This window comes from Homo sapiens, chromosome 8 (assembly GCF_000001405.40).
Source record: "Homo sapiens chromosome 8, GRCh38.p14 Primary Assembly".
Classification (NCBI taxonomy): Eukaryota; Metazoa; Chordata; class Mammalia; order Primates; family Hominidae; genus Homo; species Homo sapiens.
Window position 1 is genome coordinate 41803666 of NC_000008.11, and position 26339 is coordinate 41830004.

General features: G+C 44.0%; 1 protein-coding gene across 1 annotated transcript in view, besides 8 other annotated features; it reads right to left on the bottom strand.

Annotated features, from left to right (window-relative positions):
• The window catches only part of ANK1 (ankyrin 1), a 243517-nt gene that overhangs the window by 150441 nt on the left and 66737 nt on the right, over window positions 1–26339 (bottom strand). The gene's annotated exons all lie outside the window — the stretch shown is intronic.
• Window positions 5619–6571: an enhancer, noted in NCBI's record as "H3K4me1 hESC enhancer chr8:41666802-41667754 (GRCh37/hg19 assembly coordinates)". NCBI's record gives its function as "activates a minimal SCP1, AML or CMV promoter by ChIP-STARR-seq in primed H9 embryonic stem cells {active_cell/tissue: H9 hESC(primed)}" and the evidence as "EXISTENCE:reporter gene assay evidence [ECO:0000049][PMID:30033119]".
• Window positions 9086–9380: an enhancer, noted in NCBI's record as "tiled region #6451; HepG2 Activating DNase unmatched - State 5:Enh, and K562 Activating DNase unmatched - State 1:Tss". NCBI's record gives its function as "activates a minimal TATA promoter and a strong SV40 promoter by Sharpr-MPRA in HepG2 and K562 cells {active_cell/tissue: HepG2 | K562}" and the evidence as "EXISTENCE:reporter gene assay evidence [ECO:0000049][PMID:27701403]".
• Window positions 14707–15906: an enhancer, noted in NCBI's record as "MED14-independent group 3 enhancer chr8:41675890-41677089 (GRCh37/hg19 assembly coordinates)". NCBI's record gives its function as "activates an origin of replication core promoter dependent on BRD2, BRD4, P300/CBP and CDK7 cofactors, and independent of MED14, by STARR-seq in HCT116 cells {active_cell/tissue: HCT116}" and the evidence as "EXISTENCE:reporter gene assay evidence [ECO:0000049][PMID:35650434]".
• Window positions 15013–15779: an enhancer, noted in NCBI's record as "NANOG-H3K27ac-H3K4me1 hESC enhancer chr8:41676196-41676962 (GRCh37/hg19 assembly coordinates)". NCBI's record gives its function as "activates a minimal SCP1, AML or CMV promoter by ChIP-STARR-seq in naive H9 embryonic stem cells {active_cell/tissue: H9 hESC(naive)}" and the evidence as "EXISTENCE:reporter gene assay evidence [ECO:0000049][PMID:30033119]".
• Window positions 24317–24874: an enhancer, noted in NCBI's record as "H3K27ac-H3K4me1 hESC enhancer chr8:41685500-41686057 (GRCh37/hg19 assembly coordinates)". NCBI's record gives its function as "activates a minimal SCP1, AML or CMV promoter by ChIP-STARR-seq in primed H9 embryonic stem cells {active_cell/tissue: H9 hESC(primed)}" and the evidence as "EXISTENCE:reporter gene assay evidence [ECO:0000049][PMID:30033119]".
• Window positions 24317–25220: a biological region, named in NCBI's record as "H3K27ac-H3K4me1 hESC enhancer GRCh37_chr8:41685500-41686057".
• Window positions 24426–24720: an enhancer, noted in NCBI's record as "tiled region #9883; K562 Activating DNase unmatched - State 1:Tss". NCBI's record gives its function as "activates a minimal TATA promoter and a strong SV40 promoter by Sharpr-MPRA in K562 cells {active_cell/tissue: K562}" and the evidence as "EXISTENCE:reporter gene assay evidence [ECO:0000049][PMID:27701403]".
• Window positions 24561–25220: an enhancer, noted in NCBI's record as "active region_27295". NCBI's record gives its function as "activates an Ori minimal core promoter by ATAC-STARR-seq in GM12878 lymphoblastoid cells {active_cell/tissue: GM12878}" and the evidence as "EXISTENCE:reporter gene assay evidence [ECO:0000049][PMID:35858748]".

A 26339-nucleotide genomic window follows, 5' to 3' on the forward strand; every position in this document is an offset into this window, starting at 1 on the left:
ACCATTAAGTATAATGTTTATGTAAGACTTTTGTGAATATCTTTTTATTAGTTAAGGAAGTTAGCTTCTAGTCTCAGTTTATTAAAATTTTAATCATGAATGAATGTTGAAATCCAAATTTTTCTTTTCCTTTTTTGTGAAGGTGGTACATTGCATTAATAGATTTTTCTAATGCTAAACTATCCTTCCATTTTTGGGTTAAACCCTTCTTGGTCGTAATGAATTACTTGTAATATAGCACCATTGAATTAGAGTTGTGGAATTTTCTACAGGATTTTTGCACCTATATATTCATAAGTTATATTGGTTATTTTAATTTGCTACTGCTGCATAACAAAGTAGCCCCCAATTGTGCTGATTAAAATACGTAAATTTAGTATTTCAGAGTTTCTGTGGGTTGGGAATTCAGGGGCAGCTCATCTGGGTGGTACTGGCACAGTGTCTCTCAGGAAGTTGCCATCAAGATGTCAGCTGGGGATGCAGTCATCTGAAGGCCCAACTAGGGCTGGGATTCACTTCCAAGATCCTCAGATGGCTGCTGGCAGAAGCTCTCAGCTCCTCACCTCATGGACCTCCCATAGGGCTGCCAACCATCCTCTTACACTGCAGCTAGCTTTTCCCAGGGTGACCCAAGAGAGAAGGCAGAAGCCACGAGGCTGTCATGGCCTAGTCTAGACATCACATATCATCACTTCTGCCACATTCTATTTGCTAGAAGCAAATCACTAAACCAGCCCACCCTCAACAGCAGGGAAATTGTCAAAGGGAAGTATATCGAAGAATGTGTACATATTTAAAACCCCCACATGGCCTATCATTTTCTTTTCCTAAATTGTCTCCAGTTTTAGTATCATATCATACTAAACTCATAAGGTGAGTTGGCTGGCTTCTCTCCCTGGCTATGAGAGGGATTAATTAATTGCCCGCAAAATAATCTGGTCTTTTTCAATGAGAGGGTAACTATGGGAGGGAGATTACTGATTTACTTTATTTCATGTTAAATGTTTGCTCAGGCTACCAGTTTAGGAGATCAATATTTTTAGAACATATTCCAGATTCTGAAAACTTGATTCTCATTCGCTTAAACTTTACACATCTCCATCTGCTTGGCACTGGCTTAGAGTGCTGCGAAATTCCCACATTCCGGCAAAACACGGTGAAAACAGAGAAGTGACCTCAGTCATTTTAAAAAGTCAGCATGAAGAGTGGGGAAACTAAAAGCTTTAAAAGGTTAAACAACAGATGCTTAATTAATTTTTTAAAAATTCAAGGGTAAACTCCCACTCATTCCGGTAAACTTAGAGAATAGTGTTGAATGGAACTCAAACTTTTTTATCTCGGGACCCTTTTACAGTAAAAAATATTAAGGATCCCATAGAGCTGTTTCTTTCTTTCTCTCTGTGTGTGTGTGTGTGTGTCGTGTGTGTGTGTGTGTTTCTCTCTCTCATAGAGCTCTTTCTCTCTTTCTTTCTCTCTCTCTCATAGAGCTCTTTCTCTCTCTCTCTTTCTTTCTTTCTTTCTCTCTCTCTGTCCCTCTTTTTGTCTCTCTCTCTCTCTCTGTCTCTCTCTCTTTGTCTCTTTCTCTCTCTCTCTCTCTCTCTGATTCTTGCTCTGTCACCCAGGTAGGGGCACATTGTTACAATCATGGCTTGCTACAGTCTAGAACTTCTGAGCTCAAGCAATCCTCCCACCTCAGCCTCGAAGTAGCTGGGACTACAGGTTTGTGCCACTGTACCCAGCTAATTTTTTTAATTTAGTTTTTGTAGAGACAGGATCTCACTATGTTGCCCAGGCTGGTCTTGAACTCGTGGGCTCAAGCGATCCTCCTGATTCAGCTTCCCCGAGTACTAAGATTACAAGCATGAGCCACTCCACTCAGTCCCATAGAGCTTTTTCTTAAATGTGACTTATATCTAGCAATATTTACTATATCAGAAATTAAAACTGAGAGTTTCTAAAACTATGTATATATTAATTCATTTGAACATAGCATAATAAACCAATTTCACATTAATACAGACAACATATTTTTCTGAAAAATAACTATATTTTCCAAAAACAAATCAGTGCAAAGAGGGTCACTACTTTCCATTTTTGCAAATCTGTTTAACATCTGGCTTAAGAAAAAAACAGATACGTTCCCATATTGCCATCTACATCAATGTGGTGGAATAGGTTGTGTCAGTTGAGGTATGTGAAGATCTGGCTTCGCTTGGATATGTAGTTGGAAAAAGGAGGAGTATTTTAATAGCCTTTTCATTTAATTGTGAAATTCTTTTTGTATACTACATAAAAACTCAACAAGTAATTTCTTAAAGGCTGGTTACAGAGTGGAATCACAAAGAATATTAATGAGCTTTTCATATCCTTTACACTTGCAAGAGAGGGAAAGTGAAAAAGTCCAATAACATTGCTGTATTATGAAGAATTTTGACCCTAGAACCCCTTGAAAGGGTCTTTGGGGAGCTCCCTGGGTCCCCAGGCTACACTTTGAAACTGGAAGTTTAGGCACTCAAATATACCTTGACGTTAAGCTATTTTTAAAAATCACAGAACCAGAGTATGATAGACTGGACAAGAACTCAGTGAGTGGTGGGGCCCATGTCCTCATTTTGAGAATAAAATGGCAGCCCAGGGAGACAACACAATTTGTCCAGGATCTTTCCAGAGCAGAGTTCATGCATGCCCTGTTCTTTCCACTACTGTGTATAAAAAGGAGCAAGATAAAGGGAAAAAAGGAGGAAAAAGATAATATAAAAGCAGCACAGGCCAGGTGCAGTTGTTCATGTCGGTAATCCCAGCACTTTCAGAGGCCAAGGAGGGAAGATCACTTGAGGTCAGGAGTTCAAGACCAGCCTGGGCAACATGGCGAAACCCTGTCTCTACTAAAAATACAAAAATTAGCTGGGTGTGATGGCACCTGTAATCCCAGCTATTCGGGAAACAGGAGAATTGCTCGAGCCTGGGAGTTAGAGGCTGCAGTGAACCATGATGGTTTGAGCCTGGAAGTTCAAGGCTACAGTGAGCTATGATGGTGCCACTGCACTCCAGCCTTGGCAACAGAGCTAGACTCTGTCTCAAAAGAAAAAAGCAACACAATGTTGTAAGAGCAGATTGTGACAGGCTCCACTCTCGATGGTTTTCCATGACGATTGTCCAGTTTATAGATGTCTTGTCCTCAGAAATCCCTGGTTATGCCTGCATTGGATCATGCTGTTGCTGCTAACAGTTTTACCATCCACAGATGTGAGAAAAATAGGGGAAAAAGTAAATCCATAAAATTATACTTCTTATCCTTATAAGAGGAGGGATGGAAGAATTAGATACTTTACAATAATGCTAATAATTAACATTTATTAAAATTTATTAAGCACTTACTATGTTCTCATTCATTCATTTGTTCATCATTCATTTATTCACTCATCCATCTTTCTCGTAATATTTACCAAGCACCTATTATGTGCCAGTCATACTACTAGGTATGCAATGGGTAAAGAAAACAGACACGGTCTAGAGTTTTGCATTGTTATTCACTCATGACTCCAGCAATCTGATGGGGCAGGCACTGTGGTAACCCCCATGTTACTCATCAGATGACCGAGGCAAGAGAGGTGCTTACCAAGGTCACAGAACCAGTGAGAAATGGAGACTTCAATCCAAGTCTCATGCTTAACCATGACACTATATTGCCTCCCAGATAAGACTCTAACGTGGCTTTGAGTCACTTATAGTTTATTTATGTTAATTTATACTCCCTTCAAGTCCAGCATTGGAAACAGAGAGTCCGTACTGCCCTGTCTGTCGTGGCCCTTTCACCTTCTTCCTGTGAATAGCTGGCCCAACATCACACCTTGTATCTGTAAGCAGGACTATCCCTAGGAGTTGACAGGAAATGGCATTGAAGAGGGGGTGGTGTACTAGATGGATCACACGGTGCTGGTGGTGGCAGTGGTCATGATGAAGAGGACACTGATGAGGCCGGGCGGTATCACATAAAATCTCTGATCCCCTCTAAGTGCTCTTGAGATAATATTTGAAATCTTAGGGCATTGACTTCCTCTCTCGTTTTTAAATCTGAGAGTAAAATACTAGTGTTCAAAGGACGCTAGTTGAAGAAAGCCAGATCATGTCTCCAAAACTTCCCTCTCTCCAAGCATCTACAAGGGGGAGCCAAAGAAGGGAGTGGGAAGGAGAACTGGGTTTCTCTCTACAAAGAGGAGGAGGAGAGGAGAAAGAGAGGAAGGGGGACAAAAGAAGGGGGAAGGAGGAGGGAGGGGAAGAGGAGGAGGGGAAGAGGAGGAGGGGAGGAGGAGGAGGAAGAAGAGAGGATGATGAAAGAGGAAGAGGAAGAGAAGGACTCCTTCTGGAGACTGTGCCTGGCCAGCCCCAAGGTCGGCAGCCCTCTGCTCTAAGGCCAGACCCAGAAAGGGTCTTCTCTGCAGAGCATGCCAGAGCCAGGGACACCCCACCTCCTCTATGAGTGCAGCACCCTGGGGCTACCTGCTGCACCAACTCAGACAGCTCTGGCCCACCATTGCAGACCCACCATGCAATTTCTGATCACACCCAAGCTCCCATGGGGTTGTTTCAATTCCAGAGCAACTTTTCCTGACAGCTCCTTGTCTAGAGAAAAGCACTGGAGTAAGATGGTCTCAGTCCTGGGTGAGCCTTTGTTACTTAGGCCATGGAACCTGGGACATGCCACTTACCTGTTGTAAGTAAGGCACAGTGCCTCAAGCCTGTAATCCCAGCACTTTGGGAGGTCGAAGCGGGTGGATCACTTGAGGTCAGGAATTCGAGACCAGCCTGACCAACATAGTGAAACTCCATCTCTATTAAAAATATAAAAATTAGCCAGGTGTGGTGGCGGCCACCTGTAATCCCAGCTACTTGGGAGTCTGAGGCAGGAGAATCAAGTGAACCCAGGAGGCGGAGGTTGCAGTGAGTCAATATCGTGCCCACTGCACTCCAGCTTGGGTGACAGAGCGAGACTCTGTCTAAAAAAATAATAATAATAATAAATAAAAATGAAAATAAGAATGTTTGCTGTTTCATTTAACCCACCCCCTACTGCTGCACACAGATGCTTCCTAAATTTTTTTTGCTAATTTAAACGTTACAGTTAAGATTTTGTGCTCTTGAATGTGACTATTTCCTTAAGATCTTTCCCAGATAATTTTCTAGACTGCCTGAAGTCACAGCTTATGAACATTTCTGAGGCCTTATTGGGCATTATAGATTTTCCAACCAGAAAATGAGTGTTTCTCTGCACCGTGCTGGCAAAGGGTATTTGTTGTTATTATGTTTTAACTTTTTGCTATAGGATTATCATCCCCACTAGTCACCCAGCTGCATGACTGCCCTGCAAGTCTTGTTCTTGCCTTTGGATGGCCAGACCCAGGTGACCACACAAATGTGGTTCATCCAGGGCTCACACTTCCCCAGGTGACTCTCCTTAACTGGGGAGTCGTTCTTAATCTCCACTTTGATCTCATGCCTTACGGGTCTTTTTTGTACATGTTACTGAGTTAAGGGCATGACCACCTTACACATGCTGGCTTAGCCAAGATTTATTTAGCTAATTATCCCAATCCTTTGAGGATCTGTAAAACAAACACTACATCTACACCAAATGCGCAGCTCTGTGAAAACTTCCAAGCCAGCAGGAGGTTTCCATCTTATAATCATCATAGAAATAACGTGGAGCAATTAGCAAACGCGTCAACATGCACTATGGTGTGTGATACTCAAAACCATGCTGGAGTTTCAATTATCATGAAAAATTGTTATTATTCCTGTTTTACAAAGGGAGAAATTGGGGCTGGGCATGGTGGCTCACGCCTGTCACCCCAGCTACTTTGAGAGCCAAGGTAGGAGGATCACTTGAGCCCAGAAGTTCAAGACCAGCCTGGGCAACATAGCAAGACCCCACCTGTACAAAAAATTTTTTAAATTAGCCAGGCATGAGGGTGCATGCCTGTAGCCCCAGCTATTCGGGAGGCTGAGGCAGGAGGGTCGCTTGAGCCCAGGAGGTCAGGCTGTAGTGAGCTATGATCGTACCACCACACTTCAACCCGAGTGACAGAGTGAGACCCCACCTCTAAAACAAAATAAAAATAGGGAAGAATTGAAACTCAGAAAATCAAACTGCACTGCCCATGATCCTACAGCTAATTACTGACTGAGGCTGGAATCCATTCTTCTGACTAAACCCCAGATGCTCTGCCTCTCCTACTTTGTGAAAGTAATCAGTCCTGTTGTTTCAGGTTAACTGACGGCTGGTGGTCTCCCACCGTCATGTTACCGTGAGCCACGGGGATCCACAGATGTGGGAAGGGCGTGTTATATGCAGGCAGTGGGGAGGGGGGACAGGGAGAGAGACTGAAGGAGAATTTCGCTTCAGGTTCCCCTAAATTCCATCTTTACCCCTGACCTGCTGATTATAAAGTTTAAAACATTAAAACATCCTGCTGAAGGGTCATTCTCCAACCTGAAGGGCATTTAGACACCCAAACTCTTTCCATTTCTGCTTTCAGATCTGGGCGAGGTCTGCCTGATTATTCATAGTTTGGCATTTCCTAAATCCAGGTGGCGCTGGGGGAGGAAAGTCCGTCAGACTGACAAATGCTGAATGTGCACAACTTAGCTGAAGAATCAGCGAATCTGCGGTTTCATGTCAGGAGGTATAAAGATTGGAGGCTATTTTATATTTCCCCCCAAAAGAGGGAAATCTTGGGCAATGGCCACTCCAGCTTTTTCCTGCACCCCTCAGGCCGTGGATCTGACCTCCACAGAAGGAACGTGTTTCCACGGTGAAGCCATCTGTGGCCCCTCTGCTGAGGCTGCCCTACAGCCGTGCAAAGGCTTTTTAGTGGCTGGCAAACCCACTGTCTGTAAGCAGTGGCTGCAGGTCCATCGGGCCACACAGGAGCAGAGCATCTCTGAGTCATCCAGAGTGGAGCCTCTCTTCTGGCGTCCCTGACGGGCCTTCCAGAGCAACGTGCCGCCGAAGCGTAATAGCCCGATGGGTTCATCTTGCCCGCTGCCCAGAAAGCCAAAAGCGCGGAGAACAGGCACTGCCCCAAAGTAAGGGCCTCATGACCACAGGGCCGGGAGAGCCAGGAGAACAGGAGAAACTTCCCACACCTGTCTCCCCGGGAATTCGGAGGCCAGGGTGTTTTAAGGGTACTTTGGCAGGCAGAGGCTGGGAAACTGAAACAATGGATGGCATCACAGAGGTGCCTAAAATCGTCTTCACGCAGGTGCGTCAGTTCGCGGGTGCGGGTCTCAGGACCAGGTGGCGGTTCTTGGTCTGCAGAAATGCTAAATCTGAAAAAATATCTCAAAGGCCCCTTCTTTAGGTTTCACAGTAGTGATGTTATCTCTAGGGATAGTCAGAGAAGTTATAAATCTTGCCTGCCCTGGTTACATGACTCTGGGGCAGTACACAATTTATAGAAAAACAAGCTAAGCATGGCAGCTCATTGTTTAACTCTGCCTATCCTTTAGCAAAGCTCAAGCCGCTACCATAATTCAAACCTTGTTTCATGAATGCAGCTTCAATCTCTGAGGAAGGGAGCGGGGGTTTCAGTTTTTCTTGCTTCAAAGTTTAATTATAAACTAAATTCCTCTCATAGTTATCTTGGCCTCCATTCCAGAATAAGCAAAAAACAAAACAAGAAACAAGTTAGCCTATGAGATTAGAAGCAAGATGGAGTCAGTCACGTTAGCTTTCTCTCATTACTTAGAATTCTGCAAAGGCGGTTTCAGAAGACTCGGAAGTCCCTCCTCACACAGGAGCTGCCATTGCCCCGCGACTCCCACCTTCCGCTTCCACTTCTGCCCATCAGCCCCATTCGGAATAAACCCACCGCCTTCCCCCTCAGTCTTCATCCACTCTTAGGGATGGCACTGCCCTCCCTGGCTCAGACTGCCCTCTCCAGGCCACAGGCCAGACCCTTCCACCAGTCTTTGTGCTGCAGAGACCAGAGCACGGAACCTCCCAAACCTCAGTGTGTTCAACTGCACAGTGGGACTGCCAATAGTGTCCACCTGACAGGGATGCTGTGAGGACTCCGTGAGGTTATGCCGGTGCAATGTTCAACACAGTGCCCACACGTGGTATGTGCTCAGTACATGTAGCTATTGTTATTATTATTATTGTTAATTTCTCTGACTATACTTTTAGTTTGTCCATGTTTCTCAAGATCTTTCAGAGGTGGTGATGACATACCTGTATATGTCCTAACACAAGACAAAGAGCAATTATAGCCTCCATTCATCTGAATATTTAATGATCCAGCTCCCTGAGAGTTAAATGAAGCTGCTTGCTATGTCTGCAGGCAACTGTAAACTGGAATGTTAATCAGTACATGGCCAGGGATGGGGCCCAGCAGCACATCACTAAAGCTCTCCCTTGGGGCTGATATTAATTCATCAAGTAACCCACTTAATGTATAGTTGTTCCATGAGTTCCAAATCACTTCGTTATCATCATCCAACCCAAATATCTTCATTTTCCTTCACTTTGTCTGCAGGGGAGCAAAAATGGCTTCTCTCCACTGTTCTAAGTTCTTTGGCTGTGCTACAAATTAAGTTGACATAATACAGATGAACAGGGAGAAAACCATAATTATATACATAATTATATATATGGGAGTCCCACAAAATATGAGACTCAAAGAAGGGTCAGATGTTTGAAGCTGATAGAGTGTCCTAAGCTGTAGAAAGGAAGAAGGGCCTGGGGCCTCCAGGAGGAGGCAGTGGCCAGCCATGGAAGGTCAACGGAGGAAATGCATGGTCAGCAAAGGCTGTCCTGCTATGCAGATAAAAAGTAAAAGTTGTCTAGAGCAGTCCTCTTCCTGATAAAGATACTTTCATTACTGTAGGTTTCTTTCATAGATGTAGATTTCCTTGACAAAAAGACAGCTTCTTAGAGCTACTCTTGTGTCTGCAGTTTCTTAGAATAACCAGCATGAAATATACCAGAGAATAGCGGTCCCCAAGCTTTTTGGCACCAGGGACCAGTTTTGTGGAAGACAGTATTTCCACGGACCGGAGGTGGTGGGATGGTTTCAGGATGAAACTGTTCCACCTCAGATCATCAGACATTAGTTAAATTATAAGGAGTGCGCAACCTAGATCCCTCTCATGCACAGCTCACAATGGGGTTAACACTCCTATGAGAATCTGATGCATTCGCTGACCTGACAGGAGGCGGAGCTCAGGCAGCAATGCTTCCTGGCTCATTGCTCACTTCCTGCTGTGCGGCCTGGTTCCTAACAGGCCCCGGACAGGCTGAAACTCTCCCAAGAAGTTTTTAAGTCCAGAAACTGAGTTGGTAGTTTGTCCAATAACCCACCAAAGCGTCATTTCTATGGCAACAAAAGAAAAATATAAGTTAATAACTGGAGCAGAGAATAAACCAAATTTCTAAGTCTGAAGGGCAGCCAGTTGAGAAAATGTCTAGATTGTGGGTTATAACGAAGCACATTTTGCAGTTTGAATGTCTCTGGCGATCTAAGTGGCCCACAGGGCAATAGGCACAAAGGTTATCCATACACAGCATGTTGTGGCGATTTCTCCAAAGTTCACATCAGGTCATCTGGCTTCAGCTTGCGGGGCTTCTGGAAAAGGACAGCTTTTGTTTTTAGTGATTCCAAGTCAGAAAGGTGGGAGAAATTCTGAAATGTTAGCTTGTAGAGTCATAGCCAGATATTAAGAAAATTCAGGTTCCAGTACAGTTTAGAGGTAGATAAACATCTCAAGAAACATGAAGGCCAGAATATAATAACAGGTACCCTATAGTTTCTACTGAAACATGGATTTTCTTACAGTCACCCCCAATTTTACCAAAGGTAATTACAGTAAGACTAATATATCTGCAAAATAACTTTAGTCTTCTGAAACTTGGCCTGAGCATTTACAAAAGTGCAGCAAGAATGGTGATTGATCATATAAGCTCTTTGAAGTCTGTTTTGCTAGAACTTTTAATAGGGAATCTCAGATTGGACTTTTAAAATCCTATTAAGGTTAGGAAGCCAAGCAAAGGACTCATCATCAAACTTCGTCTGTAATACCTGTAGATTGGGGTGAATTCCTCTCTTTTCAAGATCCCTAAAATATTCTGAGGTTCCTGGGCCTGCCAAGAAGTGACATTCCTTACCCACCTTTAATGTAACAATATGAACTATGTATTCAAGGTACCACATCAGTTGTTTGTTTTTCCAAGGGCTTCATTGGCTCCATAAAGTCAACCTTAGTTCCTTAAAGTTGTCTGGCATATTATAAAATGTGACATTCCAGTCAAAGCATTGGTAACATAATCAGTGTTTTCAATTGTGTCCTGTTACAAGAACAGATTCTTATTACACTTATGCAAATAACTATACTGCCATTTTAAAAAATTCATAGAGGCCGGGCGTGGCGGCTCATGCCTGTAATCCCAGCACTTTGGGAGGCCGAGGCAGGTGGATCACGAGGTCAGGAGTTCAAGACCAGCCTGGCCAACATGGTGAAACCCTGTCTCTACTAAAAATACAAAAATTAGCCGGGCGTGGTGGCAGGCACCTGTAGTCCCAGCTACTCAGGAGGCTGAGGCAGGAGAATGGCGTGAACCCAGGAGGCGGAGCTTGCAGTGAGCTGAGATTGTGCCACTGCACTCCAGCTTGGGCAACAGAGCAAGACTCCATCTCAAAAAAAAAAAAAAAAAGTATCCTCCTGGGCTCATTCATTTGCATGTAATTAGTTCTTATTCTGCTTCATGTTATTAGCAGTTTCATGAATCCATCAGTTTCCTTATTAGAATTCTGGAGATTACTATGCAGTCTGGTGGTATGATCATAAAGTTATCAGAAACCTGTATTCCAAAATATTTGTCAGAGTGTTTTCCATGAATCTCCTTAAAGAAGCTTTTAGAGAATTAAAGTAAAACAATAAATGGATGACAAAGACTTAAAATAGCCATGGTTAAAGATCGGATGAGATTTCATTATAATAATGATGCACCTGACAAGCTATTTATTTATTTTTATTTTTTTATTTTTTATTTTTAGATTCTTATTTTTTTTTATTATTCATTTTATTTCCATGGCAAACAACATCTTAAAATAATAACTAGAATCATGACTGATTTATCGGAACTTAGCAGATTTCTAGGAATTGCATGTAATAACGTATATCCACATAACTCAAAGAAGGTTAAACATCATTTCCTACTTGATAATGCTTTCCATGCCAATGTAACATAAAATAAGGCCAATTAGCTTAGTAGGTATGTTTTATAAGAAGACAGAACAATTTGCTTTTGAAAACTTCCAGGGGCCCATCTGAGAAATCCCGAAGTTATTTCGAGATCAAAAAGATTTAACTTTGAATTTGATTTTGGAAAGTACCAATATCAAAAGGTTTAAACATTTGATTAAATAGGATCACAGATCATTATGAAGTAAAATCAAAGTGACATGAGATCTTAAAGGCAAATATTAAAGGCTTACATAATCATAAAAAGCCTTAACTCTTTTAATATTGAGAGACTCAGTTTTCTTAAGTAATCAAAGACCTAATAATGAAAACATGAAGCACAGGAAATTATTTTGATAAAACACAGAATCCTCTTTTTTTTAAGGCAGATCACTCAAAAGGTGGAAAAAAAATTTCACTATCTCTTATTAAGACTACAAAACACCCTTGTTGTTAGAAGAGAAGACTAAATTCTAGTTTTGCATCAGTGTACTTTTGATATTAAGACTCATTTTAAAAACCGTTATAATAAATGTATTCCATTTTAGTCAGTTTGACCCTATAGGATCCCTCTTGCTCTCTTTCTTCCCAACTTCATGTCCATTCAGTTTTCCCCCATCTTTCCTTCTTTCATTTTGAAACAACCTTTTGATAACCTCTAAACTAGACAAAGTTATTTTCCCTCTACAAAAAAAACCTCATACCTTATAACAACTTACTTTCCTTGTATACTTTCTATGCAGAATTGTTTTTCTTATCATTTACAGTAGTTTTAATTATGTTATTAGAATTTTAAGACTTAGTAACCCTAATTTCCAGTGAAAACCTAGGAAGCAAGCAATTTTGAACTGTCACATAACATTTGATGACTGCATATTTCATCATTTCTAGAAATATATGCTTCCTCATAGAATACTTTTTCAATGTGGAACAGGAAATATTTACTAACCCAAGTATATTTTGTCTCTATAAAATTTAAGAACCCAAAGGTAAATAAATTTATGTTCACCAGTTAATGTTTCAGTACTTTATCTTATTTGGAAATAAACTAGACATTCGATGAAGATATCGAAGGGTATACTTACCAAAGAGATTGGGAAACCTTTTTAAACAGACATATTATAAAACATTATTACTGTTTAAAAGTCCATTTATAAACCTTTATCGCTCTTACATCTGTGTAATTCACTTGTTCTTAACAATTATGTTTGGATTATTCATAAAAATTAAATAAGACATTAGATAAAGCTAGCCATCATTTCACGCTATTTCCATTAACTATTTTCATAGCACCTGCATGTTATGAGAGTCACAAAAGCAAGAACATAAAAAGTTAAATAATTGGACTTTTGTCTTACTGATGTGATTGATATACACACAGTAATGGACACTGCAGTTTTACTTGCACAGTTGCTCTTAGGTTGAACCCATAGTCTTACGATTTTAAACATCTAAGAGATGAAAATTTGGTTGCATTATATTTAATGCTAACAATTCTGAAGACTTGCCTGTTTTAATTAAACAAATAATATTCTTTTTTTTCTTATTTAGAGATAAGGTCTTGCTCTGTCACCCAGGCTGGAGTGCAGTGGTGCAATCATAGCTCACTACAACCTCGAACTTCTGGGCTCAAGGGATCCTCCCACCTCAGCCTCCCAAGTAGCTGGGATGCACCACCCCACCCAGCTAATTTTTTATTTTTTGTAGACACAGGGTTCTTGCTATGTTGCCCAGGCTGGTCTTGCCCTTCTGACCTCAAGCAGTCCTCCCACCTAAGCGTCCCAAAGTGTTGGGATTACAGGCATGAGCCACCAGGTCTGGCCAATAATATTCTTATTTACCAAATTTTATCGGTTACATGAAGTTGAAAAGCACTTTGGTTAATTTCTCTTTTTCTGAGAGAACAATTTTTATAAACACTTATTTTTCTTTAAGCCAATTAAATAGACCTTATCCAGAGATAGAAAATATCACATTACATGACATACATACATACTTAGACATACATAACCATATAGATAGAAACAGATCTTACTAAATTTTAACCATGTGCCAGATACAATAATTCAAAACTCACTTATAAGAGAATAGCTGGATCTGGCAAATGGGACCAGTGAAGTTTCCCTGCTCAGGTGGCTCATGCTTTTGTACTCAAGACTTGTCATTTGCCAGTTTCCAAATAGTTTCTTTTTTTTTTTTCTTTTTAACCTGAGAATCATCTCCCTGAAGTTTGCACTTCAAGAAGGATCTTGATAAGATCTTAGATAAGACAGGTTAGAAAATTTACATCTCAAAAGCACAGAGAAAGAATTCAAGTTTTCAACAGGAAGGAGTTTTGGGGGGCACATTTGCCTATTATCAGAAGTCTAGGATAAATCTATTAAAACTTTTCCTTCTTTTTCTTAAATGCAAGACACTTTTGTTTCCAGTGTTCTGATTTGCTGAAGTTTTTGCAAACATCTTGAGATGAACAGGTGAGGTTTGGGTACTGGTAAGAAGGCTAGGTGGGCTTTGAATTGCTTCCAGAGGCACATTCCTGCTGTGATAAAGCCTCAATGTGTAAGACGAGGACAGTTGTTTTTAATTCCCCTAAGAACTGGGTTGCAGCCTGAATGTCAAGGTGCTGACCCATCCATCCGATCTTCAGTTTGCTCCTTTATATCAAGAAGCAGATTTCCAACTAGGATGGAAACCAAAATATTCCTCTGTTCTAGAGTTAGAGCTATTTGTCTAGAAAAGTTTTAATAAACTGTTTTCTTTCTTTCTGAGTACACAGTTCCATTTTAGCTTAGGAGGGAAGAGCTAAAGGAAAAAATTCCTATCATGCTTTATATAAACCAAAGCTCTAAACCGAAGATATACCTAACAAGTGACTCAAGACCAAAACAAACATGCTTTTCACCACTGAACCATGAATGCATGAGGCATCTCCAAAGAGAGACAAAAAAGATGCAGCCCTTTCACAATCCAGGGCCACTCCCAAAGACAGCCACGGAGAGAAACCCTGAGACGATGCTCCTGAGAAGTGGCAAGAGTTGGTGTGCCAGCTGCCAATGGGCTGCACCCATGTTTCTGTCCGGCCACATTCTTGGAGATTTCCAACCTTTTGGATGGCCACCTGCACATACAGGCCCAATAACCCACGTGCCCCCGCTGGCTGCAAAGTCAAACAAAGTTCTTGGGGAAGAAAAAATAAAAGAAGACGTATAGGAAAGCAATAACTATCCACGGGAGGGAAAGGGTTAATAACTAATGGGTACCCCAACACCAAGACTCAATTCAAACCCATTCCTACAAATGTTTCCCGCCTGAGCTAATGGAATTTACTGAGAAAATGGAGATTTGGAGGAGTAAAGTTTTAAATCAGGGGCCCAGAGCTCCAGAGTTCTTCCAGAGGGTCAGGACCAGGGAGTTGTGGATATAAGAGAGCACAGAAGAGGAATTTAGGCCAAATTTAAACAATTTTAACTTGGTTCTAAACTTGATTTCTGCTTTTAATCTTGCTAAAGGGGCCCTAAAGCTAATCATTAAATCCATTATGTCTTCTTTTCAGTTGGATTATACCATAGGTATCAGTAATACAGTTGTTTAGGATGTGAGCTCTCTAAAAATTTTTTCAAATATAGCCAATTTATTTATCCCAGAGGTAGTGACTCAAACCAATAAGTCTTTCTTTCTTTCTTTCTTTCTTTCCTTCTCTTTCCCTTTCTTTCTCTCTCTCTTTTTCTTTCTTCTTTCTTTCTTTCTTTCCTTCTTTCTTCTTTTTCCTTTCTCACTATATTGCCCAGGCTGGTCTTGAACTCGTGGGTTTCAGCAATCCTCCTGCCTCTGCCTCCCTAAATGCTAGTGAGAGAGGAGAATGGAAAAAACCTGGTCAGGCAGGCAATTAAAGTGTGTCCTTGGTTGAATTCTTTCAAACAAAAGAACAGTCCACAGGCACAGATAAGGGATTGTGCACAGCGGGGCTTGCCTAAGACACGCCCACAGCTGCACAGATAAGAAAGCCTACACAGGTAACTTGCCCAGACATGCCGGCAATGGAAAATTCTGTTCCCTAACATATGCACAGTAAAGGTAACAAAGCAATATGGAGTAACTCAAGCTAAGGGCCCGCATGCACACTAGAAGGACAGGGTAGATCTACCAGCCTCATTGATGCCCAGACCTCACTGGTTTCTCATAAATAAGCCTTTGCATTCAACTGTAAAAACAGCAACCCTCTTCTGGGTCCCCTCTCCACAGCAGAGAGCTTTCTTCTTTCATTTGTTAAACTTTTGCTCCAACCTCACCCTCGGTGTCCACGCTTCTTAAATTTCTTGGTCGGGAGACAAAGGACTTCAGGTACTACCTCAGGCAATGAGAGACTGCTACACTGTGGTGCACTGTCGAGACTGTAACACTAGGATTACAGGCTGAGCCACCCCACTCAGCTCCAATAAGTCTTTTCAAAGAAAGACCCAGAGGTAACTTGCAGGTTTAGAAAGTAGGCAGAGAAGATGCAGCTCCCAATGATTGAAGAGTTCATTCCCACAGACAGACGAAGAAAGCTAAGACCTTCATTGCCACAGGTGGAAGGGATAGTGTTTGTGAAAATGGTGCCTCCAGCCTCCCTTGGACACATGGGGAACCTCCAGGCACCAGCCTGTCAATCTATGATGCCAGGCAGGACCTACTGGGATTGGACTTTCCCAGCGCTAACCAAGCAATCAAAGGTTGGGATGACAAAAGCCCTTAAGAACTGGGACCTCTGAAGACAAACTCCCCTGAAAGCAGGCACAGTCACAGAGAGAACGCTGCTTATGGCTTGCGACTTGGGCTCCCAGCCTACTTCACTGGCCTCCTGACACAAGCTGACACATGCACCCCAGCCTGGCAGAGGCCAGAGAGTATTCTCACTGATCAAAAATACAGGATCTCACAACATAAAACAAGCTGGAAGGAGAATCTCATCCATTTTCTTCTGTCTCAGGGACACACAGCAAAGTTCGTCTAAACAGACACCAATATGGTGAGAATCATGAACTCAGCAGCCTGTGAGGCCAGCTCAAACCACTGGCTTATGTAGGGCCCATGCCACTGATCCCGCCCTGGGAGTCTCCTCCTTATGACACATGACACAAAAGACACAGGCAGGAAAACAATGACCATCTCTGGGAGGGAGAGAGTCAGAAAATAAAAATACTCATACTCCCCCAAAACATCAGAGTTGCTCCACAGGAACTAATTCACACACGTTTTCTAATTTAAATTTAGATCTCACCTTTTTTTTTTTAGATGGGGTCTCACTCTGTCACCCAGGCTGGAATGCAATGGTACAATCATTGCTTACTGCAGCCTCAAACTCCTGGACTCAAGTGATCCTCCTGCCTCAGCCTCCTGAGTAGCTGAGATTGCAGGTGTCCACCACCACACCAAGCTAAATGTGTGTGTGTGTGTGTGTGTGTGTGTGTGTGTGTGTGTGTGTGTGTGTGTGTAGACATGGTCTCCCTATGCTGCTTAGGCTGGTCGCAAACACCTAGTCTCAAGCAATCCTCCCACCTGGGTCTCCCAAAGCACTGGGATTACAGGAATAAGCCCCCACACCCAGCCACCACTCTCATTTTGACCACACTCGGCAGGCACAGATCCAGGAGCCTAATTTGGTACAAAATGTTACCTGTGGCCAGTGTTTTCTCAGGGGTCCCAGGATCCTGTAGCTGCAGGGGTCCCAGAGCAAGCTAGTCCCAGCCAGTGATGACCCACACTGGGTACCAACTGTAGGGAAGCAAAACAGGGCTTTCCCCACCTTCTAGGTCCTTTGGCTGGGATAGGAATTAAATTGACATAAACCAGATTAACAGGAGAAAAACCATGTTTAATTGCATATGTACACACGAGAGTCCCACAAAATATGAGACTTGATGAAGGGTCACATTATTAAAGCTGATACGGCATCCTGAGCTACACAAAGGAAGAGGGGCCGGGGCTGCAGAGAGGTGGTGACCACCAGTGGGAGGGCGAGGGGAGGAAATGTATGATGAACAAAAGCTATCTTGCTGGGCAGACAAAAAGTCCCTTGGGCAATAAAAGTTGTCTGGAGCAACTCTCTCCCTGATATAGACAATTTTACTAACGTAGATTTCCTTTACAGATGCAAATTTCTTTAACAAAGCAACAGCTTTTCAGTGCTACTCCTGTGTCTGCAGTTTCTCAGAATAACCAACTCGAAATATGCTACAGAAGTATATTTGGGGGTGGCATATTCTGGTCTCCTAAGGTCATATTTTAGGGTGCTATGTCCTGAGCCCCATCAGTCTACAAAATCATGAGAGACTTTGTCAATATACAACATATACAAAATAGATAAAAACTTGAAATATGATATCAAAAAATAAATATATATAGGAGTTGTAACATTTTCTTTCCTTGCTAAAAAGGATGGTCTATTTGTTTATATCACTTTGTGGCACTTAGGGAGTACTTTGTTGTACTATAGTTATCTGTGTACGTGGTCATCTCCTTTATTAAAAAGAAAGCTCTTTAGGGGACAGAGATTGCAATATATTTATCACTAGATGTCATTCAACCGTAGGGCTTTAAACAAAATAAGTGCTCAGTAATTACCTGCCAAGTGGACCCTGAACACATGCATGCGTCAAAGGCCATACGAATGAATGACTTCTCCCAATAAGCCATTGTTGAGTATCGTAAAGGAAATGAGTTTAGTTGGCCATGACTTCCTCCTGGTGAACCCATGCTAGCTGCCAGGGAACACTGCTTTTCCCCTAACCAGTGATAAACCATCTGTTTAATAATCAATTCTAACATTTTTTCAGGAATTTGGCCTTATGAAATCTGCTGTCTTGAAAAGTGAGACATTGGCCAGGCGCGGTGGCTTATGCCTGTAATCCCAGCATTTTAGGAGGCCAAGGTGAGTGGATCACCTGAGGTCAGGAGTTGGAGACCAGCCTGGCCAACATAGTGAAACCTCATCTCTACTAAAAATACAAAAATATTAGCCAGGCATGGTGGCGCACTCCTGTAATCCCAGCTACGCCGGAGGCTGAGGCAAGAGAATCGCTTGAACCCAGGAGGCAGAGGTTGCAGTGAGCCGAGATTGTGCCATTGCACTCCAGCCTGGGCCACAGAGTGAGACTCCATCTCAAAAGAAAGAAAGAAAGAGAGAGAGAGAGAGAGAGAGAGAGAGAGAGAGAGAGAGAGAGAGAGAGAAAGAAAGAGAAAGAAAGAGAAAGAAAGAAAGAAAGAAAGAAAGAAAGAAAGAAAGAAAGAAAGAAAGAAAGAAGGAAAGAAAGAAAAGAAAGAAAGAGACAGACATCTACCTGTCTCCAGTTGACCTCTCTAATTTGTCCTGATTTCACCAACATCCCCAAGAGCATCATTGCAACCATATACACGTCCAAGCTCACTCAGCCCAGGATTGGCATAGCTTTGCACTGGAAGACAGCACGCTTGTGTGCTGATGGCTGATTGGGAATGAGGTGGATCCGTTTGGCAGAGTACAATCTCTAAACTTTTAAAACTTCATACTTCTATCAGTAAAAATATTTTTTGAGTAGGTATCTTCAATATACGCATATTAACATATTTTTAAATCATATACCTGTATTATCATGTGCCAATACATGATGTACCATATAAAACATACAACAAAATAGAAATTTTTAAAGGGTGATATTTTTAAAATGTGGATACACAGAAGCTCTAATGACTTCTTTCTGCATCCTTGTACCCTGTACACTGCTGGGTTCAAGGACCCAGGAGACTGCAGGACTTGTGCTTGCAATGAGGATGATGAGCTAATCCCCCGAAGGCCAGAGAGGGTCACAGGCCTCCAGAGCTACTGCCTTGGATCCTTGACCCTGCTACCATCCCACCAACAGGGGCCGCTGGTCACATGGTCAAGAGCCAGCAGTAAGGCTGGATTTGCACCCCTGTACGGGAAGCACAGCACGAGAGCGGGGGCGGTGGAGGGCGATTTGGATGTCAGCCCTGTTTTATCCCAGGCTGATCTGGGGCGCTCCGTGTGTGCCTCGTTCTGGGTAGTCGCTGAGCACCGCTGAGCCTGCCTTGCCAATTTGTGAAACAGGAAAGCTAACGCCTACATGACAGGCTGCTCTGAGCATGAGCGGAGGCAGAAGGGTAAACTTCTGCAATATGGGCAGAGGAGGTGCCCACAAACCTCTGTCTCCTCTCATACACGGCGCATGACCTTTTTATTTATTAGGTGGTATCTGTAAGAAATGAAGTTGCTCAGATCTCATGAAGAGCCTCTGTACTGACGCATGGGAGTATTTTCCTTCTAGCGGGTAGCTGAAGATAGAATTACTTGGAAACACTCTAGGGGGAGAGAAGTGGTTGCTGTAGATAAGAAAGGGAGTGGGAGTGAATGCACAACATTAGAAAAAAACCGCCCAACTTGGAGAAGAAACAGACATATTTACTCAACTTTCCACCCTCCGCTTTTTCTCCAGTGAAGTAATCTTTATATTAGAGATACTTTTCAATGTAGTTGTATTTTCTAAATGTATTATGCAATGTTGAAGACATACAAAAATGAGTAAAGAAAAATAAACACAGGTATCCACTACTCAGCTCAAGAAATAGCACTTTGGGAGGCTGAGGCAGGAGGATCCCTGAAGTCCAGGAGTTTGAGACCAGCCTGGGCAACACAGCAAGACCACGTCTCTACAAAAACTGAAAAAAAAAAATTAGCCGGGCATGGTGGCATGAGTCTGTAGTTCCAGCTACTCAGGAGGTTGAGGTGGGAGGATTGCTTGAGTCTGGGAGTTCAAGGCTGCAGTGAGCTACGATTATGCCACTGTATTCCAGCCTGGGCAACAGAGCAAGACCCTGTCTGAAAATACATTTTAAAATTTTTAAAAATAAAACACTGCCCACACAGTGAAGTCCACTCTCTGCACCTTCTCCACCACCTCCTTCCTAACCCAATATTATTAACTTGGCATTTATCGTTCAAGACACTTCTGTATACTTTTACAACATATATATGTATCCCCAAGTAGCAAATAGTATCTTTTTGAGTATTTTTTGTTTTGTCTTGTTTTGTTTTTGAGACAGAGTCTCGCTCTGTTGCCCAGGCTGGAGTGCAGTGGCATGACCTCGGCTCACTGCAGCCTCCACCTCCCAGATTCAAGCAATTCTCCTGCCTCAGCCTCCTGAGTAGCTGGGATTACAGGTGCACGCCACCATGCCTGGTTAATTTTTGTATTTTTAGTAGAGATGGGATGGGGTTTCACCATGTTGGCCAGGCTGGTCTCAAACTCCTGACCTCAGGTGATCCAACCGCCTCGGCCTCCCAAAGTGCTGGGATTACAAGTGTGAGCCAGCGTGCCCAGCCCTTTTTCAGTATTTTTAAACTTAAAAAGTCTTATAATTATTATTATGACTTTGGGTCATTAACTCACTCATGCAACACATGTTTATAAAGCACCTACTATGTTTGTTGTGCCATGAGTAATCATAACAAAAAGTCTCTTCACTTTCAAGTCCTGGAAACATGTCAGCACAAACTACATTAAAAATGATTCCTTTGCAAATTCATTTTAAGACTTTGCAAATTCTCGCTGCTTTCATGTCACCACTCCTATGGAAACAGAAATTCTATTTCCACAGAAAAGTCACTGTTCTGTGATTAAGCAAAACGGTGGTAGATACCATGATTCAAGGGACAGGGGGGCATTCTATTCTGCATAAAGATGGGTCACGAATTCTAAATAAGTGTCCCCAGAGAAAGCAATCTGGGGCTCTAGGAAAGGTGGAGCCTCTGCCCTGACCCCGCCTTCGCCACTCTTATTTTCTAGACAGCAGAGTTCAGCATAGTGTGGGATTCTCCTGAATCTCATTCAAGGCATCTGGTCAGGAGTGTAGGTGAAAGACCCACTAGCTCCCCGGGATGTGCCTGAGCTCACAGAGCGTGAAGGCAGGGGGTGTGGAGGGCTGGCTGCAGAGCTGGGGCTGGCTGGCTGTAGGGCCTGGCTCTCTTTCCAAGGTTCTAGAGGTGGGGTCCACTCGAGGGTGAAGGGCCCCCATTTCTTGCCTTCCACTGGTCTCAAGTGGCTGGGGCAAAAAAGTGAGCCCAAATTTCACAAGTTACCAACAGAGTAACCTAAAGATGACCCTTCAGTGGCCCCTGAGCGTGGAGGCCACAACGGGAGGGAAGTCCTTGGGGCTGAGCCCGGCTACTTCCAGGTGGAAACAGGAACTTCGGCCGCATTCTGCTCAGGACCCAGAGTCAATGCTGCAGCCACTGCTCGCCCGACTAGGACATTTTTGCTCTTCCAAATGCACTTCCATTCTAGTTTCCTACAACACAGGCTTCTAGCTAAAAAGATTTTGAGCTCATGATGTTACTGTTCTGTGGATTAGGTAAAGAAATGTACTTCTATGAATGTAAATGATCAATACTCTATTAATCTTTCATCACAATTATTAGTAAGCTGCAAAACCTCGCCAGCTCTGTCCCCCCTAGAACTGGCCTTGGGGTCACACTTTCACTTTAATCACACTCTGGCCTCCCATGTCCACCGTACAGTCAGAAGTCGTTTTGGCCACCAACAGTTCAGTGTTTCCGCAAGTCTCTTTGTGGCAACTGCCTCTGAGAACTGTGTCCTGTTGACCAAGCTGAGCTTCTCAGTGAACCACCAGGCCTGAGCTCAACACTTGAAACAAGTCCATTTTCTCCTGGTGGAGACTGCACAGCGTGGTGGGATTTCACCTTACCCTTTGATATGGTTTGGCTGTGTCCCCACCCAAATCTCATCTTGAATTGTAGTTCCCATAATTCCCACATGTTGTGGGAGGGACCCGGTGGGAGGTATTGAATCATGGGGGTGGTTCTTTCCCATGCTGTTCTTGTGATAGTAAATAAGTCTTACGAGATCTGATGGTTCTATAAAGGGGAGTTCCCCTGCACATGTTCTCTTGCCTGCCGCCATGTAAGATGTGCCTTTGCTCTCCTTTGCCTTCTGCCATGATTGTGGGGTCTCCCCAGCCATGTGGAACTGTGAGTCCATTAAACCTCTTTTTCTTAATAAATTACCCAGTCTCGGGTATGTCTTTATTAGCAGCATGAGAACACACTAATACACCCTTGGTCCTGCCCACTAGTGACTTTTTGTAGGCAATTAACAAGCCTTTAGTCCTAATCCAAAGAGGCCTGATGACTTGGGAATGTCAGAACTAGGAAATGTATGCCCCTAGCATCCAATCCTATAGAGGGGAGGGGTCCTTGGTGCCCCCAACCTGCCAGCTGTGAGATTTCTAATCCTCCCTTTGCTGACTGTGCAATTGCCCTATTTTTCTAGAAAAGGCTACTCTGGCCCATTGCTGATTGTCTATGACCCCATGGGGTCTAAGTTACTCACTGTAACTGTCCCCAGAGAAAACAGGCTGGGGCTGTAGGAAAGGTGGGAGCTCTGCCACCTTGATGTAACCTCAGAGCTGGTCCCTTCCTCCTCAGGTCACCATGCTCACTCCTGCTGCCCAGGTCTCAAAGACAGCCTACACCACCCACTCCCTGGCTTAGCACCATCCCCTGCCCTCTGTCTCTGCTGCCTGGGCCTCTGGATTCCCCTGCACCCCAGGCTCACTGTGTGCTGAGCGTCCCACCGTCCCACCAGCACCTCAGCCGGCCCTTCTCCAAATAAGGAACAACATTTTCTTTTCTAGTGATAAGAATAAATCATTTCATTGAAAATAGGAAATACCAAAAAGTAAAAAGAGGAAACTAAAAATCACCCATAATCTATCACATCCTAAACATGATTTACATTTTGATGCATTTGCTTAGTCTTTTTTCTTTGCACATGAATAATACATGTTTTCCCAGAACTGGAATTATACCATGCATAATATTTTGTACCCTTCATTTTTTTTTCTAGCCTTGTCGTAACAATAAACATTCTGCTCTTATCCTTGGATCTCCATGTGAGTTTTCAAATTCCCCTCTCCTCCCCTCCATCCATCTAAATCTTTCCCTGCCTTTAATTCTCCATCCCGTAAAGCCTTGCCTAATAATTCTGGTCTGTATGTATGTTCCTGTCAATATGTTTAGCCTTTGCTGCACAGATTGCATAATTCACTGCTTGATCTATTGTCTTTTCTAATGACTTTGAGAATTGGTTTTCTGTTGCTGGTAATAATATAAGCCCTTAATAATCAGCAACCTTGTCTTACACATAGTAGTGCTCAGTAATATTTGCTGATTTTCAGATTGCTTCACATTATTTGAGCTCCATATTCCCCTACCCTTTTTTTGTTTCTATGCAAAAGTGAAAATTCTCAGACAAGGTTGCTGGGAGCCAGGAATAAATACCCATCTAATGGTAGCAACACTTGTAAGAAAAGTACAGGACTCACATCTTGCGTTTTCCTAATCCAGCCTTTCCCCTTGCTGGTGTGAATGAGATGTATGCCTCCGCCAGAGTAGCTGGCCAAGATGCACCCACACAGGACTGCGAGCGTCTTAGACTGCTCTCTGAGTTGGAATTTAGGGCCTGAATTAGTCAAGCATCAAATGAAGAAATAATGAGATGCAAACTCTCCACATACTATCTTCACAGCTTTAAAATAAAACAAAATGTAATGGCCTTTAAAAGGAAATGTAGGTTAGACAGGATTGCAAGTTAACTACAGTTATTTTATAACATTAAAGTAATAAAAGGTATTTTTTGACCTGGTTTTACAAAGGCTATTTCTTCACACACATACACACACACACTCGAATACCTACCCATCTCCACACACATCCCCTCATATATACACACTCACACACACTCACACGCACACCCACTCACACTCACACACATCCACACACGCATACATACACCCACTCACACACCCCACACACATGCTCACGCCCACACACATGCACACTCACGCACACACCCACATACACACACGCACTCACACATGCACACACGCATACATACACCCACTCACACACCCCACACACATGCTCACGCCCACACATGCACACTCACGTGCACACACCCACATACACACACGCACTCACACATGCATACACAGATACACACCGCCCCCGCCCCCCAACCCCCGACACACACACCCTTGCCCAAGCAATAAAGAGGAAGCCCCCACTGTTTGCAACTCTCCTATTAAAACAGACTAAGATCATTCAGGGTTCAGCCCCGCCCCAGGGCCGCGAGCGCTCAGGGATTTTGATTCCAGACCCTGGGCACCAGGTTGGAATCAAAATGATGGAGTTCCCGGTCGGTCCTCCAGTGCTGAATGTTTAATTTCCTATGAAAGGCTGCGAGCTAGAGGAGGAAGCAGGAACACCCAGCGCCGTTCCCGCCCATCCTCCCGCTCCGCCCCGCTCCGCCCGTGCTGGGCTGTGGCCTCCACACCAAGCAGCCGCCCTGGGCCGCCTTCCTTCGTCTGTGCGTGCAGCGCCGCCTCCTTCAGCTTAGGCCCGACACTCCATGAACTCTCATTTTCCACCTTCTCCGTCTCCAGCTTCCAAGCTGCACAGGGCCAGGCCGAGGTACGTGATGGCGGGCACTGAATTACAGATCCCGTCTGTGGCCGCCAGCCTCTGTGTCCTGCCACCTCCTCCGAGAGGACATCACCGCCACCAGGTGGAGCGAGTCTCCTCCTCGGCGCTCCAACCACGTGCTGTTTATTACTCTGTGGGGATTCCCATACCGAGGCCTCTTCAGTTCCTGGAACAGTAGCACTAAAAGGCTCCTGAGTGCCTCTGTTAATTTGATTGTTCTGGTTCGCACTACAATGACCGGGCTGGAGAGGGGGCGCTCGTAATGAAACAGGAACTGCTCCTCGCGCCCGCTCCAGAGTCCTTTACATCTTTGGGGAGAGGGCATACGGGGAGCTACATTTCATTTTCCTGAAGATTTTCCACGCGAAAGTGCTGGGGAGAGAGTTGGGCCTGGGAGGCTGCGCCTTCTTCCCGCGAATCCCGAAAACTGCGCGGCAAAGGCGGGTTCCGCAGAAGTCGCGCGTGACCCGGGGCGCCGCCCTCCTCGGGGCCCATTCGGATCTGCCGCCCGTCCTCTCCAGAGCGCCCCCTGGCGCCCTCTAGGCCATCTTGATTCCACCGCCGCAGTTGAAAGAATTAATAAATAAATCCTAGTCTCGCGTCTAGACCGGTCCGTGAGGGTCCCCTGCTCACCGGACACCCTGCCGCAATCTCTGCTGTCCCATTCTGGCCTCCCTACGGGGACGGGGGCCACCGTTTGCACATCAGCGGCGTTTGGGACAGCACTGTGCAAGATCTGTGACTCGGCTTTCAGAAGCTTCTGCCACAAGGCTTCAAAGGAAACCTTCAATTTTCACATTTCCTAGGGGGAAAAAAAATCTGAGATTTCTTCTTGTGGCTTGATGAACTTAGCTTTCGTCGCTGGAACAAAACCCGAGGAACAGCGTCTTCGCCACCCTTGCCACCTTACTGATGTTTCTCAGGGGGCACATGCCCATCGCAACCTTATGACCAATCCCATTTTTCAGATGCAGAAAGAGGCTCAGAGAGGTTAAGTGCTACTTGCTCAAGGCCACAGCAGGGAGTGGAGCTGGATTCGCTCCCAGGCAACTGACCCCAGCGTGCAGTCGATGCCTTCTCCTAGTCCCACTCACCGTGTAAGACCTGGTATTTACAAATTAGATTCTCGTTGTGCTTCTCCATTGGAAGGGCACTAGGGGAGCTCATTGTCTAAGACTGCCATCCCTAACTGCCTTTTAAAAAGAAATCTGGGCCGGGCGCAGTGGTTCATGCCTGTAATCCCAGCACTTTGGGAGGCCGAGGCAGGCAGATCACGAGGTCAAGAGATCGAGACCGTCCTGGCTAACACGGTGAAACCCCGTCTCTACTAAAAATACAAAAAATTAGCCGGGCGTGGTGGCGGGCGCCTGTAGTCCCAGCTACTTGGGAGGCTGAGGCAGGAGAATGGCTTGAACCCAGGAGGCTGAACTTGCAGTGAGCCGAGATCGCCCCACTGCACTCCAGCCTGGGCGACAGAGCGAGACTCTGTCTCAAAAAAAAAAAAAAAAAAAAAAATCTGACGTGACAAGGCCTTTAGTTTTTATAAGTGAGGTCTCCTCTC